We start from the raw sequence: 17082 nt of genomic DNA on the forward strand, positions 1-17082 counted from the left end.
TGGCTGTCATCCTGATGAGGCAGAAACACAAAATTTAAGAAGCAGGTCTCAGGCTGTGTGTCTATAAGAAGCCACGGTAACTTTTCTTTTTTTGTGTGTTTGATTTTTGAGATGGAGTCTCCCTCAGTCACCCAGGCTGGAGTGCGGTGGCGTGATCTCGGCTCACTGCCACCTCCACCTCCCAGTTTCAGGTGATTCTCCTGCCTCAGTCTCCTGAGTAGCTGGGATTACAGGCATGCCACCACGCCCGACTAATTTTTGTATTTCTAGTAGAGATGGGATTTCATCATGTTGGCCAGGCTGGTCTCGAAGTCCTGACCTCAGGTGATCCTCCTGCCTCAGCCTCCCAAAGTGCTGGGATTACAGTTGTGAGCCACCACACCCGGCCCCAAGGTAACTCTTCTCTCTGACGATTCAGACAAAAGTCCAGGCAGCTGAGTGGGAAAATAGCTCAATTGGCTATTGCTCTGAAGGAGGCATTTGTTCTAATCTCACTCTCCTGTGAGGATTGGTAACTGACCATGTATGGCCATGGAGCTTTCTTTTATTTTCCAGATGTCATATAGATGTGAATGTATTAGTGTTCCAATTCCAGGGAATTCGCCTAATTCATGAATTTTTTTTTTAATTTTATTTGAGACGGAGTCTCGCTCTGTTGCCCAGCGTGGAGTGCACTGGCGCGATCTCGGCTCACTGCAAACTCCGCCTCCTGGGTTCACGCCATTCTCCTGCCTCAGCCTACCGAGTAGCTGGGACTACAGGCGCCCGCCACCACGCCCGGCCAATTTTTTTTTTTTTTTTTTTTTTTTTTTTTTGTATTTTTAGTAGAGACGGGGTTTCACCATGTTAGCCAGGATGGTCTTGATATCCTGACCTCGTGATCCGCCCACCTCGGCCTCCCAAAGTGCTGCAATTACAGTCGTGAGCCACCGAGCCCGGCCAATTCATGAGTATTTTAAACAACCCACACTCAATTGTGATCTCAGATAAAAATGACACCCTTGGCCGGGGGCGGTGGCTCAAGCCTGTAATCCCAGCACTTTGGGAGGCCGAGGCGGGCGGATCACGAGGTCATGTGATCGAGATCATCCTGGCTAACACGGTGAAACCCCGCCTCTACTAAAAAAATACAAAAAATTAGCCAGGCGTGGTGGCGGGCGCCTGTAGTCCCAGCTACTCGGGAGGCTGAGGCAGGAGAATGGCATGAACCCGGGAGGCGGAGCTTGCAGTGAGCCTAGATCGCGCCACTGAACTCCAACCTGGGCGACAGAGCGAGACTCTGTCTCAAAAAACAAAACAAAACAAAACAAAACAAAAAAACACTCTGACAAAGGATGAGAGTGAAGCAGGATTTGGTGTTCACTTTATTCTGTTTTCAAAGGCGATTAGGATAAAAAGTACCTTGGGAAAACACAATTATGTCCACCTATGTTTGGGAAGATGCCAAGCTTTTCAGGGTAAAGTTTAATTCCTATAGTTCTACATCCTGTTTTCCCATGAACGTTTTCCTGGTTCATTATCATCAGACCTCCAGCATTCACTGCTGGGGTTCCACTTGCCTTTTGTTGTTATTTTAATTTTTAATCTTGATTTATGTAATTTTCAACCTTACATAAAAATTGCAAAAATAATACAAAACGATTCCATATACCCTTATATTCCCATATCCCATATACTCAGATTTTCCTTAATATTAACATTTTGCCATGTTTGCTTTCTCTCTGTCTTTCTCTCTCTCTGTCTGTCTCTCTCTCCACACACTCACACATGCATGCACACACACACAGACACATCGATACATATATATATACATAAATTTTTATCTGGACCATTGAGGGTAAGTTGCAAACATGATACCTCTTTACCTCTGAATGCTTAAGTATATGCTTCTTTAAAACTAGAACATTCTCTCACCTAGCCATAACACAATTGCCAAAATAAGGAAATTAACATTGATATCATACTATAATCTAATTGACAGCTCTTATTCAGAGTTCACCAGATGTCAATATAATGTCTTTTAATAGCAAAAGAAAATACCAGATTACAAACTGCATTCAGTTGTCATGCACTTTCAGTCTTCTTCAACTTGAAAGAGTTCCTCAGTCATTCCTGATCTTTCATGACCTTAACTTTTTTTTTAGAGATGAGATCTAGCTATGCCGAGGCTGGAGTGCAGTGGCTATTCACAGATGTGATCACAGCATGCTATAGCCTCAAACTCCTGGACTCAAATGATCCTCTCACCATAGCCTCTCTAGTAGCTGGACTACAGGGACAAGCCATTGAGCCTGGCCCTTGACATTTTTTAAGAGGACAGACCAGTTATTTTGTAGGCTGTCCCTCAGTTTGGGTTTGTCTGGTGTTTCCTTCATAATTAGATCAGATTTTGCATAAATTTTGGCAGCAGTAACAGAGAAGTGATATTGTGTCCTTCCTAGTGCAACATATCAGGAGGAACATGTCCATTTGTCCTAATGCTGATAGTGTTTACTTTGATCACCTGGTACATTTATACCTCCTAATTTCTCCACTGTAAAATTACTAGGTTTTCTTTTCTAATTAATAAATATATTGGAAACAGATAATTGGAAACTACATAAATATTCTCTTTCATTAAACTTTTACCCTCTAATTTTAACCCCATTAATGACTCTTACTAGAATCAATTGTTATTGTAATGGTTGCAAATATTTTTCTCTCTTCAGTTACTGAAAAAGAATTTTATTTGGTAAACTACACATACATAATATCTCCCATCTTAACCATTTTTAAGTGTAGAGTTCAATCGTATTACATTCAATGTATCAAATGGTAGTACATTCATACTGTTTTGCAACCATCACCATCATCCATCTCTAGAACTCTTTTCATCTCACAAAACTGAAACTCTGTACCCATTAAACAATACTTCCCATCCCTCCCTCCCTCAGCCTCTGGCGACCACCATTCCACTTTCCATCTCTAAGAATTTAACTACTCTAGATGTTATATTAATGGAATAAGACACTATTTGTCTTTTTGTGACTGGCTTATTTCACTTTGCATAATGTCCTCAAGGTTCATCCATATTGTAGCATGTGTCAGAATTTCCTCCCTTTTTTAGGTTGAATAATATTTCATTGCATAGGCTGGGTGTTGTGGCTCACATCTGTAATCTCAGCATTTTGGCAGGCCAAGGCAGGTGGAGCCTAGGAGTTTGAGACCAGCCTGGGCAACATGGTGAAACCCCATCTCTACAAAAAATACAAAAATACAAAATTTACAAAATACAAAAATTAGCCAGGCATGGTGGTGTGCACCTGTAGTCTCAGCTACTGGGGAGGATGAGGTGGGAGGATCGCTTGAGCCTGGAAGGTCAAGGCTGCAGTGAGCTGTGATCATGCCACTGCACTCCAGCCTGGGTAACAGAGTGAGATCCTGTCTCAAAAAAGAAAAAATAAATAAATAATTGTATGTATGTAGTGCCTCATTTTGCTTATCCGTTAATCTGTGTGTGGACATATGTGTTGCTTTCATGTTTGGCTATTGTGAATAATGCCGCTTTAAACATGTATGGACAAATATTTCTTCAAGACCCTGTTCACAATTCTTTTGGGTGTATACCCAGAAGGGAAATTGCTAGATCATGCGGTAATTCTATTTTTAATTTTTTGAGGAACTGCCATACTGTTTTCCGTGGCAGCTGTACCATTTTACATTCCCACCACCAGTGTACAAGCATTCTAGTTTCTCTACGTACTTTGACAACACTTACTATTTTATATTTTTTAATAGTAGCCATCTAATGGGTATGAGGTGATATCTTATTGTGGTTTTGATTTGCATCTCTCTAATGATTGGGGATATTGAGCATCTTTTCAAGGGCTTATTGGCCATTCATACATCTTGTTTGGAGATATGTCTATTCACGTCTTTGTTCATTTTCAATCAGGTTGTTTGGTGTTTTTGGCAGTGGTGGTCATTTTTAAAGTTTTCAATTTGAAAAATTTCAGGCTGGCACGGTGGCTGATGCCTGTAATCCCAGCACTTTGGGAGGCCGAGGAGGACGGATCACCTGAGGTCAGGAGTTCGAGACCAGGCTGGCCAACATGGCAAAACCCCGTCTTTACTTAAATACGAACATTAGTCAGGCGTGGTGGCATGCATCTGTAATCCCAGCTACTTGGGAGACTGAGGCAGGAGGATCACTTGAACCCAGGAGGCGGAGGTTGCAGTGAACCGAGATCGTGCCACTGCACCACAGCCTGGGCAACAGAGTAAGACTCCATCTCAAAAAAAAAAAAAAAAAAAAAAGGTGTGGTGCACGGTGGCTCACACCTGTAATCCCTGCATTTTGGGAGGCCGAGGTGGGCGGATCACAAGGTCAGGAGTTCAAGACCAGCCTGGCCAATGTAGTGAAATCCCGCCCCTACAAAAAATACAAAAAAAATTAGCCAGGCATGTTGGCAGGCACCTGTAGTCCCAGCTACTTGGGAGGCTGAGGCAGGAGAATCGCTTGAACCCGGGAGGCGGAGGTTGCAGTGAGCCAAGATTGCGCCACTGCACTCCAGCCTAGGTGACACAGCAAGACTCTGTCAAAAAAAAAAAAAAGAAAGAAAGAAAGAAAAAAAAAAGAAAGGAAAGAAAAAGAAAGAAAGAAAAGAAAGAAAGAAAGAAAGAAAAGAAAGAATTGATTTCAAACCCTCAGAAAATTTGGTGAAAAAAAAAAATACATCCAAATGCACCAATTACTGGACATAGAGGTTCAGGCCTATACTCCCAGCATTTTGGGAGGCAGAGACAGGAGGATCACTTGAGGTCAGGAGTTCAAGGCCAGCTTGAATAACATAGTGGTACCCGTCTCTACAAAAAAAACAAAAAAAAATTTGCTTTAATTAGCCACGGGTGGTGGCATGTGCCTTGAGTCCCAGCTACTTGGGAGGCTGAGGCAGGAGATCACTTGGGCTCAGGAGTTTGAGGCTGCAGTGAGCTCTGACTGTGCTACTGCACTTTAGCCTGGGCATGAGAGTGAGACTCTGTCTCAAAAATCAAATGAAAACCAAATGCACCAATTGTTAACATTTTGCCATATTTGCTTTACCTCTTTGAACCTCTCTGTATGTTCTTATTGTTATTTGCATAATCATTTGAGTCAGTTGCAGATATCATGACCCTTCATGCCTAAATACTTGTACATAGGCCTCCTAAGAACAAAGACTCTCTTTATAACCACAGTGTACTAATCGTACGTAGCAAACACAATTCTATTGTCTAAATATACAATCTGTATTCAAATTTTACCAGTTGTTCCAATAACCTTTTTAGTTATATTTTTAAAAAATGATCCTCTAACCCAAGATCATGCATTGCATTTTGTGATTTTCTTTCTTTCTTTCTTTCTTTCTTTTTTTCTTTCTTTCTTTCTTTCTTTTTCCTTCCTTCCTTTCTTTTTTCCTTTTTTGAGACGGAATCTTGCTCTGTCTCCCAGGCTGGAGTGCAATGGTGTGATCTTAGCTCACTGCCATGTCCACCTCCCAGGTTCAAGGGATTCTCCTGCCTCAGCCTCCCAAGTAGCTGGGATTACAGGTGTGCACCACCATGCCTGGCTAATTTTTGTATTTTTAGTAGAAATGGGGTTTCGCCATGTTGGCCAGGATGGTCTCGAACTCCTGACCATGTGATCTGCCCGCCTCAGCCTCCCAAAGTGCTGGGATTACAGGCGTGAGCCGCTGCACCTGGCCTGTCCTGTCTCTTTATTCTTGGTTAAATTGGAATAGTTTCTTGGCCTTTCTTTCTTGTTCATGTTATTGACATTTGTTAAAACAGGCCAGTTGTTCTGTGGATTTCTCAATTCAGGTGTGTCTAATTGTTCTCTTATAATTAGATCAGGGTTATGCAATCTGGCAGGAATGCTACAAAACTCACGGGGTGTCCTTCTCAGCGCATCTCATCAGGAGATCCATGATGCCACTGTGTCCCGTTACTGCTGCAGTTAATGTTGATTGATTGATTCGAGTGATATCTGCCAGGTTTCTTTACGTGACTCTTTTAAAAAGTAAATTTACTTAGTAATATTTCCTTAAATTCCAAAATTATTACTATTATTACCAACAAAGGCATTATCTTTCATATTCTTAGAGTTTTAAAGCATCTACATATTATTTAATTCCATTTTGGAATAATGGAATTTTTAATTCTGTTGATATCAAATTTTAAGTTGATATCCATTTTCTCCTAAATATTTTCTCTCCAAAATCATTTTTGAAACAGCATTTTTATAACTATGCTATATCCCAGGACAATATTACAAGAAGGTATTAGGAGGTTAATCTTTTTGTTTGTTTGTTTTGAGATGGAATTTCGCTCTTGCTGCCAGGCTGAAGTGCAATGGCGCAATCTCAGCTCACCACAACCTCCACGGTTCAAGTTCCGCGGTTGAACTCCCAGGTTCAAGCGATTCTCCTGCCTCAGCCTCCCAAATAGCGGGGATTACAGACATGCGCCACCACCCTCAGCTAATTTTGTATTTTTAGTAGAGACAGGTTTCTCCATATTGGTCAGGCTGGTCTTGAACTCCTCACCTCAGGGTGATCCTCCCACCTCGGCCTCCCAAAGTGCTGGGGTTACAGGTGTGAGCCACCTTGCCCAGCCAGGAGGTTAATCTTAAAAGCATATATTTATGGCTTCTCAGTACCTGTTGTTAATTGTCTTATTCTAACAATGCACTCCCATAGGTTAATTGGATCAGTCTTAATAACCCATACTGACCATTTATTCATCAATTAATATTTATTGAGACCTCACTATGTACCTGGCACAGTGCTAGACATTAAAGGCACACCTAAGAACAAAATATGGTCACTGTTCTCTTGAAGATTACATTCTTATGGGGAAAGACAGACACTAAAGGAATGAATAAGCAATTATATAATGTGTCAGATGGAGATAAAGAAAAGTGCCATAGAAAAAAATTAATTCACGTAAGAACTTACAGAGTGGAGGCTGGGCACGGTGGCTCACGCCTGTAATCCCAGCACTTTGGGAGGCCAAGGCGGGCAGATCACCTGAGGTCAGGAGTTCGAGATCAGCCTGGCCAACATGGCGAAACCCAGTCTCTACTAAAAAATGCAAAAATTAGCCAGGCGTGGTGGTGGGCACCTGTAATCCCAGCTACTTGAAGGCTGAGACAGTAGAATCGCTTGAACCCGGGAGGCGGAGGTTGCAGTAAGCCGAGATCACACTATCGCACTCCAGCCTGGCTGACATAGTAAGACTCTGTCTCAAAAAAAAAAAAAATAAAAAAAGCTTACATTATAGAGTGATGTGGTTGGGTGTGAGAGGTGCAATTTTATTTTGGTATATCAGGAAAGTTCTCTATAATCTCTTCAATACCTTTGGGGCAGAGTCCTAAGAAGTGAGGGAGTGAACCGACTGGGTAGGTTAAGGGAACAGCTGAGGCCGCATTTGGTCCTGGGGACCACAGGTGCAAAGTTCTTGAGCACGAGTGAGCTGCCAAAGGTTGGCAAGAGAGCCAGGTGGGTGGAGCAGGGTAAGTGAGAGATAGACCCCTTGGCCCCACAGGCCATAGTAAGGACTTTGGACAGCATCTGAAAATAGTTCAATGGGCAATAGCAAAAGCAGAAAGAATCAGCCAAATTTACAGAATACGTATTTTCATGAGTTAGTTAAATTGCTGCCTTTGGTTATGGAAAACATTGAAGATAGTACAAACCTAGCAAAAGACAGCCAAGAAAGAATTCCAGTGCAAGACTAAATGAGATATTATCATTGGAAAGGTAGAAAGAAAAATCGCAAAATGCTATTGTCTTCTCATTGAACTTAAGTACAGTAACCTATAATCTACTGCTTGTTCTAAAAATGCAGATTTGTTCCACCTGGATGACATACAGGCATACCTCAGAGATATTGCAGACTCAGTTCCAGACCAGTGCAATAAAGCAAATATAGCAATCAAGTGAAATTACACAAATGTTTTGGTTTCCCAGTGCATATCAAAGTTATGTTTAGCTGTAAAATCTCTGGAAGAAAACCTAAGTAATACCATCCTGGACATAGGAGCAAGCAAAGATTTAATGACAAAGATAGCAAAAGCAATCACAACAAAAGCAAAAATTGACAAATGGGATCTAATTAAACTTAAGAGCTTCTGCACAGCAAAAGAAACTATCAACAGACTAAACAGACAACCTACAGAATGGGAGAAAATATTGGCAAACTACACATCTGACAAAAGTCTAATATCCAGCATCTATAAGGAACTTAAACAAATTTACAAGACAGGCTGGGCACGGTGGCTCATGCCTGTAATTTCAGCACTTTGGGAAGCTGAGGTGGGCAGATCACCTGAGGTGAGGAGTTCAAGACCAGCCTGGGTAACATGGAGAAACCCTGTCTCTACTAAAAATACGAAAATTAGCCAGGTGCAATGGCATGCACCTGTAATCCCAGCTACTCAGGAGGCTGAGGCAAGAGAATCGCTTGAACCTGAGAGGCAGAGGTTGCAGTGAGCCATGATTGTGCCACTACATTCAAGCCTGGGGGACAGAGTGAGAGCCCATTTCAAAACACACACACACACACACACACACACATTTATAAGACAAAAACAAACTACCCCATTAAAAAGTGGGCAAAGAACATGAAAAGACACTTTTCAAAAGAAGACATATGGGCCGGGCGCGGTGGCTCATGCCTGTAATCCCAGCACTTTGAGAGGCCAAGGTGGGTGGATCACCTGAGGTCGGGAGTTCAAGATCAGCCTGACCAACATGGAGAAACCCGTCTCTATTAAAAATACAAAAATTAGCCAGGCATGGTGGTGCATGCCTGTAATCCCAGCTATTTGGGAGGCTGAGGCAGGAGAATTGCCTGAACCCAGGAGGCGGAGATTGCAGTGAACCAAGATCGTGTCATTGCTCTCCAGTCTGGGCAACAAGTGTGAAACTCTGTCTCAAAAAAAAAAAAAAAAAAAAAAAGAAGGCCAGGCGCGGTGGCTCATGCCTGTAATCCCAGCACTTTGGGAGGCCAAGGCGGGTGGATCACGAGGTCAGGAGATCGAGACTATCCTGGCTAACACAGTGAAACCCCGTCTCTACTAAAAATACAAAAAAATTAGCCGGGCGTGGTGGCGGGTGCCTGTAGTCCCAGCTACTCTGGAGGCTGAGGCAGGAGAATGGCATGAACCCGGGAGGCAGAGCTTGCAGTGAGCCGAGATCCCACCACTGCACTCTAGCCTGGGTGACAAAGTGAGACTCCATCTCAAAAAAAAAAAAAAAAAAAAAAAAGACATACATGTGGCCAACGATCATAAAGAAAAAATCTCAACATCACTGATCATTACAGAAATGGAAATCAAAGCCACAATGAGATACCATCTCACACCCGTCAGAATGGCCATCATTAAAGTCAAAAAATAACAGATGCTGGCAAGGTTGAAGAGAAAAGGGAACATTTATACTCCGTTGGTGGGAATCTAAATTAGTTCAACCATTGTGGAAAGCAGTATGGCGATTCCTCAAAGAGCTAAAAGCAGAACTACCGTTCAACCCAGCAATCCCATTACTGGGTATATACCCAGGGGAATATAAACCATCCTACCATAAAGACACATGCACGTGAACGTTCATAGCAGCATGATTCGCAATAGCAAAGTCATGGAATCAACCTAAATGCCCATCAATGACAGATAGGATAAAGAAAATATGGTACATATACACCAAGGAATACTATACAGCCATAAAAAAGAACAAGATCATGTCTTTTGCAGGAACATAGATGGAGCTGGAGACTATTATCCTTAGCAAACTAACACAGGAACAGAAAACCAAATACTGCATGTTCTCATTTATAAGTAGGAGCTAAATGATGAGAACTCATGGACACAAAGAGGGGAATAACAGACACAGGGGCCTACCTGAGGGTGGAGGGTGGGAGGAGGGAGAGGAGCAGAAAAAATAACTATTGGATACTGGGCTAAGTACATAAGTGATGAAATAATCTGTACAACAACCCCCCATGACACGAGTTTACCTATATAACAAACCTGCACATGTACTCCTGAACCTAAAATAAACATTTTTTTTTAAAGTTATGTTTAGGCTGGGCGTGGTGGCTCAAGCTTGTAATCCCAACACTTTGGGAGGCCAAGGCGGGTGGATCACCTGAGGTCAGAAGTTCAAAACCAGCCTGGCCAACAGGCCAAACCCGGTCTCTACTAAAAATACAAAAATTAGCCTGGTGTGGTGGCGCACGCCTGTAGTCCCAGCTACTTGGGAAGCTGAGGCAGGAGAATCACTTGAACCTGAGAGGAGGAGGTTGTAGTGAGATTGAGCCACTGCACTCCAGCCTGGGTGATAGAGCAAGACCCTGTCTCAAAAAAAAAAAAAAAGAAAAGAAAAAAAAAGTTATATTTAGCTGGGCCTGGTGGGTCACACCCGTAATCCCAGCACTTTGTGGGGATCAAGGTGAGAGGCTAGCTTGAGGCCAGGAGTTTGAGACCAGCCTGGGCAACAAAGTAGGACCCTATCTTTACAAAAGAAAAAAAGAGTCATGTTTATACTATACTGTAGTCTATTAAGTGCAATAGCATTATGTCTGAAATAACTATGTACATACCAAAAATACTTCATTGTCAAAAAATGCTGACACAGAAACATGAAGTGTGCGCACACTGTTGGAAAAATGGCAACAATAGACTTGCTCAATGCAGGGACATCATAAGCCTTCAGTTTGTAAAATACACTGTATCTGTGCAGTGCTATAAAGTGAATCTTAAAAAAACAAGATGTGCCTTTATCAGGGAATAAATTGCATAATGTGAATGTCGCACTTTCTCATGTGAGATTTTGTCTTTGAAAAACACTGGATGAACAAACACAGAATACTGCACCCGGGTGAACTGAGCTGCATTGGGGTGCACAAAGCGACACATGGGCCACCCTGGCCAGGACAATGAGCCACCCCCACCCCCACCTGGGGTCCCAACTTTCCACACCGAATTTCAGGTGCTGCTCCTTCCACCCCTTCACAGTAACTCACAAGTAGCCACCTTTCCAAAGGCCGCTGGGCTGTGTGGTCCTAAACTCGCCTTCTCTTTAATTTTCCCTTCTTCCTTCTCAGCCTACTTTACGTATTTCCTCTCTGTTCTCTTTCTTTTCCTCCCCTTTTTTCTCTCTATCTTTTGCTCTCTTCCTCTTTTACACAGGTGGTGGGCCTGGGAGCCAGCCGGTGAGTGGGCAAGAGTGTAGGTGAACACCCTGCATGGGAACTTCAGGTCTTTTGCGAGCTGATGTGCTGTCATTGTTGTATTTTATATGCATTTCTTAACCATGGAACATGTATGAAACTGTGCTGCCATTTTTATTAGGTTCCAAGGTTGTTAACGTCACTAATGAAGTTTTCGAGTATTCTACTCCTAACCTGGTTTTCCTGGTAAGCCCTGTGGTTTTATTGCTGCAGTGATTTTTAGGAACGCCTGTTGCAATCCCCAGAACCTATCACATTTCAGTAATAGATATCAGCACAGCCACAGTAATCATCAGTTTTCATTAGGCCCACCTGTTTCTCCCTGGCATCATTTAAGTTAGGAAGAAAGTGATCTGCCAGTACTGGCCAGGTGTGGTTGCTCACGCCTGTAATCCCAGCACTTTGGTGAGGCTGAAGCAGGCAGATCGCTTGAGCTCAGGAGTTCAAGACCAGCCTGGGCAATATAGCGAAACCCCGTCTCTACCAAAAATACAAAAATTAGCTGGGCATGGTGGCGCACTCCTGTGGTCCCAGCTACTCAGGAGGCTGGAGTGAGAGGATCAATTGTGACCTGGAAGTTGAGGCTGCGAGCCGACATCATGCCACTGCACTCCAGCCTGGGTGACAGAGTGAGACCCTGTCTCAAAAATAAATAAATAAGAAGGAAAGAGGTCTTCCAGTGCCATCCTTGAGAAGACTGGCATCTAGGCCACAGGGACTGAGGGCTGCTGGCCACTTCATGGTGGGACTAGCTTTGCCTCCCTGCAGAAAGCCAGGGATGCCCCCGCCAGGCCCTTCTCAAAGCATCACTTGCTGCACATCTCCTGAGCCGCCACTTGCTCTCAGGAGCCCTTGGCTTCTTGCACACTAAAAACCACACACCGTCATCCATTTAGGCGGCAAAAGTTACCTTCTGACAGCAAATGCTGAGCCAGGGGATGCCCTAGAAAGCAGGGTAACTGGAAGGCCACACGTGGAAACGAGGAAGTCAGGTTGTGCAGGTTCATTTGGGGCAGATTCAACAGAGCACTGAACATCCAGAGGAGTTTAAGGTGGGGATGGAGTCTTGCTACATTGCCCAGGCTGGTCTCAAACTCCTGGCCTCAAACCATCCCCCTGCCTCAGCCTCCCAAAGTGCTGGGATTACAGATGTGAGTCACTGCGCCCAGTGTGAGGGTTTTGACACAGAAATCATATGCAAGTTAGAGGTGACCAAAATAAGCACAAAAGAGACCTTTCTAGAAGCAGCTGGCTGAGGAATATTCTGTGGGCCTGACTTCCTAAATCTCCCATGTGCCTTGTGGGAAGACAGTTGGTGTTCTGCCTGTCCAGGGAAGTGTGTAGGTCTCAGAAAATCTGGAGTGGGGTCTTAGCAAGCTGCTTCTACCCTAATCTCATTTTCTGAAACTCCTATGGGTAGCAAAAGCCATCCATGGCCCCTGGACACAAAATTCAGGTCCTGAATGTAATTTCTCACCACACAACCAGAAGCAGCTTCCTGTGTTTTTCACGATTAAATAAATAATTACGTGAGCAGCCCCAATGTACGATGTAGGTCCGCAGACAGGGACAACTGGGCTAAGACATAGAGGAGGCTGGAAGAGCAGGCCTGGCTCCAGCCCGTCACACTAGCTTGGAGAGACAGGCTGGATTCTTAGGCAATGAGAAGCCAATGAGTGTTTGGTGGCATAAGGAGAGTTGTACTCTGCGATGAATACTCTGTCAGCATGATTTGGGAGAAATTAGAGAAGAAATGACATGAAAAATGGAAGCATGCAGGAGAAAGTTGAAGACTCCAATACATGACAGGGACAGACTCAGAAAGGTTGGGGAACTGAGGAGGTGACGCGTAAGGAAGAGGAGAACATGGTGGCCCTAAGTGTACTCCATTCAGCTCTAAGGCACAAAGCATGCCTGACAAACAGCCCCAGATGCTGGCCTCTGGGGCCACCGCTGCATCACGCTGAGGCCCCACGTCCCTGAGCCCGGTGAGGGTGCTGGGGCAAGCCCATTCCTGTAGGATGCCTGCTCCTCTCTTGGGTGATCTGCTAAGCAGGCCTCAATGGCCCAGCCCAATCTTTCCTAGATCCACGTTGCAGGCTGTGGGTCCTCCCACCAATCTTCCTGCCCTTTTCTCCTTCCCCAAGGCTGAAGGATCTCCCTGCCTCCTGGCCTGCTCCTTCCCCTTTATCCTTCATAGGTCTGAGAACAGGGAAGAGGTTTTGGGACTGGCTGACTCACTGCCCTGCAGGCGAGGGGGACCGTTACATCTATGCCATTTACAGTGTGTGATGCATAGACTATCTCATCTGATCACCACAGTGGCCCTGTGGGCTACCTACCACAGACTCCACTATACCAGTAAGGAAACCGAGGCTGGGGGTATTTCAATAGTCTCCCAAGGTCTCACAGCTAATACATGGCATAGCTAAGACTAGTATGCAATCTTCTTTTTTTTTTTTTCTGAGACGGAGTCTGGCTCTGTCACCGAGGCTTGAGGGCAATGGCACGATCTCGGCTCACCGCAATCTCCACCTCCTGGGTTCAAACGATTCTCCTGCTTCGGTCTCCCAAGTAGCTGGGATTACAGGTGCCCGCCACCACACCCAGCTAATTTTTGTATTTTTAGTAGAGACAGGGTTTCCCCATGTTGGCCAGGCTGGTCTCAAACTCCTGACCTCAGATGATCTGCCTGCCTCAGCCTCCCAAAGTGCTGGGATTACAGGAATGAATCACCGCACTGGCCCCTGTTTGGAAATTTTTGAACCAACATAAGACTATTACCCCGATACCGCTTTTTTTCTTTTTAATATTCTAATCAATTATAATATGCAAATATTCTAGACAGGGTTGCTATTACAATATATAGACATCACTGTTTCTTCACTTGGTCTTTCCATTAGCCTGGTACTGTAATAACCTCCAAACTATGTTGCAACACAGTTTCACGCTTAATATTTTGTTTACATTCCATTTATTGGAGCACACTTAATCTAACCATTTCTCTACTGCTAACATTTAGGTTGTTTCCAGTTTTTTTGGCTATTTTTATTTATTTATTCTATTTATTTTACATTTTATTGTTATTATTTTTTGAGACAGAGTTTCACTCTTGTTGCCCAGGCTGGTGTGCAGTGGTGCGATCTTGGCTCACTGCAACCTCCACTTCCCGGGTTCAAGCGATTCTCCTGCCTCAGCCTCCTGAGTAGCTGTGATTACAGGCACCCGCCACCATGCCCAACTAATTTTTTTGTATTTTTAGTAAAGACAAGGTTTCACCATGTTGGCCAGGCTGGTCTCGAACTCCTGACCTCAGGTGATCCACCCGCCGTGGCCTCCCAAAGTGCTGGGATTATAGGTGTGAGCCACCACACCCAAACATTTTTTGGCTATTTTTAAAAAGCATCAGCAGTGAGTATTGCTCTTTCTCTGTAGGACTTCCTTCCTCAAATCCTCTTTCCCAAAGTGGGATTGCTGGGTGAAAGGCTGTGAACATTTTGATGGCCTTCGATTGTATTGCTATTGTTGGGAATGTGGGCAAGGGGAGTCCAGAGAGGTAGGACATGAGCAAATCACCACCAACACCAGAGATATAATAGGCATGCCTTTCCACCTTCCTACGGGTCCAGCTCCAAACCCCCTCCTGCAAAAATCTTTCCCCAACCTGCACCGCCCCCACCCCGTACAATTAATCCTTCCTTTGCCTTCACCCTATTATACCAATGGTTGTAACAATGCCTCATCTAGTCTGCAAACTCTTTATTGTACAATGTATCTCTACAATCTCGTGTAATCTGCAGGAGTATCTTTATCTCTCATTTTACAAATGAGGACACTGAGAATCAGAGTAATTGCCTTGTTCAAGGACACTCAGTCAGCAAGAGGCAATGCCAGCTCTTCACATACAGAGTTCTTTCCATTGCAGAGCTGTGAAACAGTGACTCAAATCCACAGTGAACTTTCTGTCTTTGTCTGAAGAGGTTCCTGCACCCAGAGTTGGAGATACTTACATTTGAGATAATGCTGACGTCTCCTCCTGGCCAGGCAGCCTCTTCAGCTTTCAGAAAACTCTATCAGGGCGAGGGATGTGCTTTCTTCCAGAGCAGTCATTCTCAGCAGAGTAGACTGAACCGTGAGGAGACAGGGAGGAGGAGGGAGGGGAGAATGGTGAATCAGAATTACTTTTTGCAAATTCTGATAAGCCTGGGCATGTGTCAGGCTCTAAGGAGGGGTGAGGAGGGAAAGGCAGGTTGAAACTTGAAAGAAAATCTGATAAGCACCCTAGATAGAGAATCTTTGATCGAAGCTGAAGATCTGCTGGAGGTCAGCATCGGGCTTTCTATCCTGGTTCCTGGCAGGACAATTCCCGTCACAATGCGATTTCCTGGATATAGCCCATTTAATTCTGATTACAAACTAGCCATTCCTTATGCAGGAACAAAGGTATGAGGATAAACAAAATGTAAACCCAGACAATGCAAACAGATAAAGGAAGGACCTTTGCACCCACTCTTTGTTCTAATGCTGGGAAGAAACTTGTACAGCACCTTGTCGCATGTCCTACTAATAATGGCTGAATGGCCAAGTGGGAAAAGATCTGGTGTAGAAACCATGCCAACAAATTTGAAAACCATCAGATGCTGTGACATGAACAGTTTGTTAAAAGATGCACCGGCAGTATCCTCTGTATTTACCTAGTGAGGGACTTCTGGGAAATCCTCCTTCTTTTCTTCATCTGCTGCCTGGGATGCAGATGTGGTCACTGGAACTCCAGCAGCCAACTTGAACCATGAGGCACACTTGGGGAGGGTGCTGCAGTGATCTGCAGGGATCCTCAAGGACAGCACGGAGCTGTCCTCACCGCCTGAGCTACTGACTTCTGGACTCTTATTCCCTGAGACAAGGATCATAGTAAAGGACCAAGCTTAACACCTTCACAGGACAAATCACAGAAAGGGAGTCCCTTCTACAAGTATAGGAAACAATGTGGCCAGGTGCCATGGCTCACGCTTGTAATCCCAGCACTTTGGGAAGCTGAGGTGGGAGGATCATTTGAAGCCAGGAGTTCAAGGCCAGCCTGGGCAACAAAGCGAGACTCCATCTCTACAAAAAAATAAAAATAAAAAAAATCAGCAAGGCAGGCATGGTGGCATGGGCCTGTAACCCCAGTGTCTCAGGAGGCTGAGGTGGGAGGATGCTCGAGCCCAGGCATCCGAGGCTGCAGTGAGCCATGATCATGCACTGCACTCCAGCCTGGGCAACAAGTCAGACCCTGCTCTACAAAAAAAATAGAACAATTATTTATCAGGGACAGTGGCATGTGCCTGTAGTCCCAGTGACTTAGGAGGCTGAGGCAGGAGGATACTCAAGCCCAGGAGTTTGAGGCTGCAGTGAGCTGTGATCACACCACTGCACTCTATCCTGGGCAACAGAGCAAGACCCCATCTCTAATAATAATAATAATAATAATAATAATAATAATAATAATAATAATAATAAAACAAAACCAAAAACAATCAACCTCTCATAGCTGATGGCACAAGCCTCCCTTGCAGGGCACATGCTGATTCTCCACCTTTCCAATGCTTGAGCGTTAACAGAAAATAAATATAGTAAGTAAATTTTATGATCTATAAGAAAAGCTGAGTGCTCTGGGGAAAATAGAGAGTTGTAGGGGGTTGGGAATGTGGGGAGAGGCAGGAAATGTGAAATTTTAAATAAAGGGATCAGAGAAAACCTCACTGAGAAGGTGGCAACTAAGCAAAGTCTAAAAGGAAGTTAAGGAATGAGCCATGAAGCTACGCAGGGGAAGAGTGTTCCAGGCAGAGGGAAGTC

The 17082-nt window shown here is 44.2% G+C and overlaps 1 annotated feature.

Moving 5' to 3' along the window:
- Window positions 12719-13220: an enhancer, noted in NCBI's record as "H3K4me1 hESC enhancer chr1:236244555-236245056 (GRCh37/hg19 assembly coordinates)". NCBI's record gives its function as "activates a minimal SCP1, AML or CMV promoter by ChIP-STARR-seq in naive H9 embryonic stem cells {active_cell/tissue: H9 hESC(naive)}" and the evidence as "EXISTENCE:reporter gene assay evidence [ECO:0000049][PMID:30033119]".

Source organism: Homo sapiens, chromosome 1 (assembly GCF_000001405.40).
Source record: "Homo sapiens chromosome 1, GRCh38.p14 Primary Assembly".
Lineage (NCBI taxonomy): Eukaryota > Metazoa > Chordata > Mammalia > Primates > Hominidae > Homo > Homo sapiens.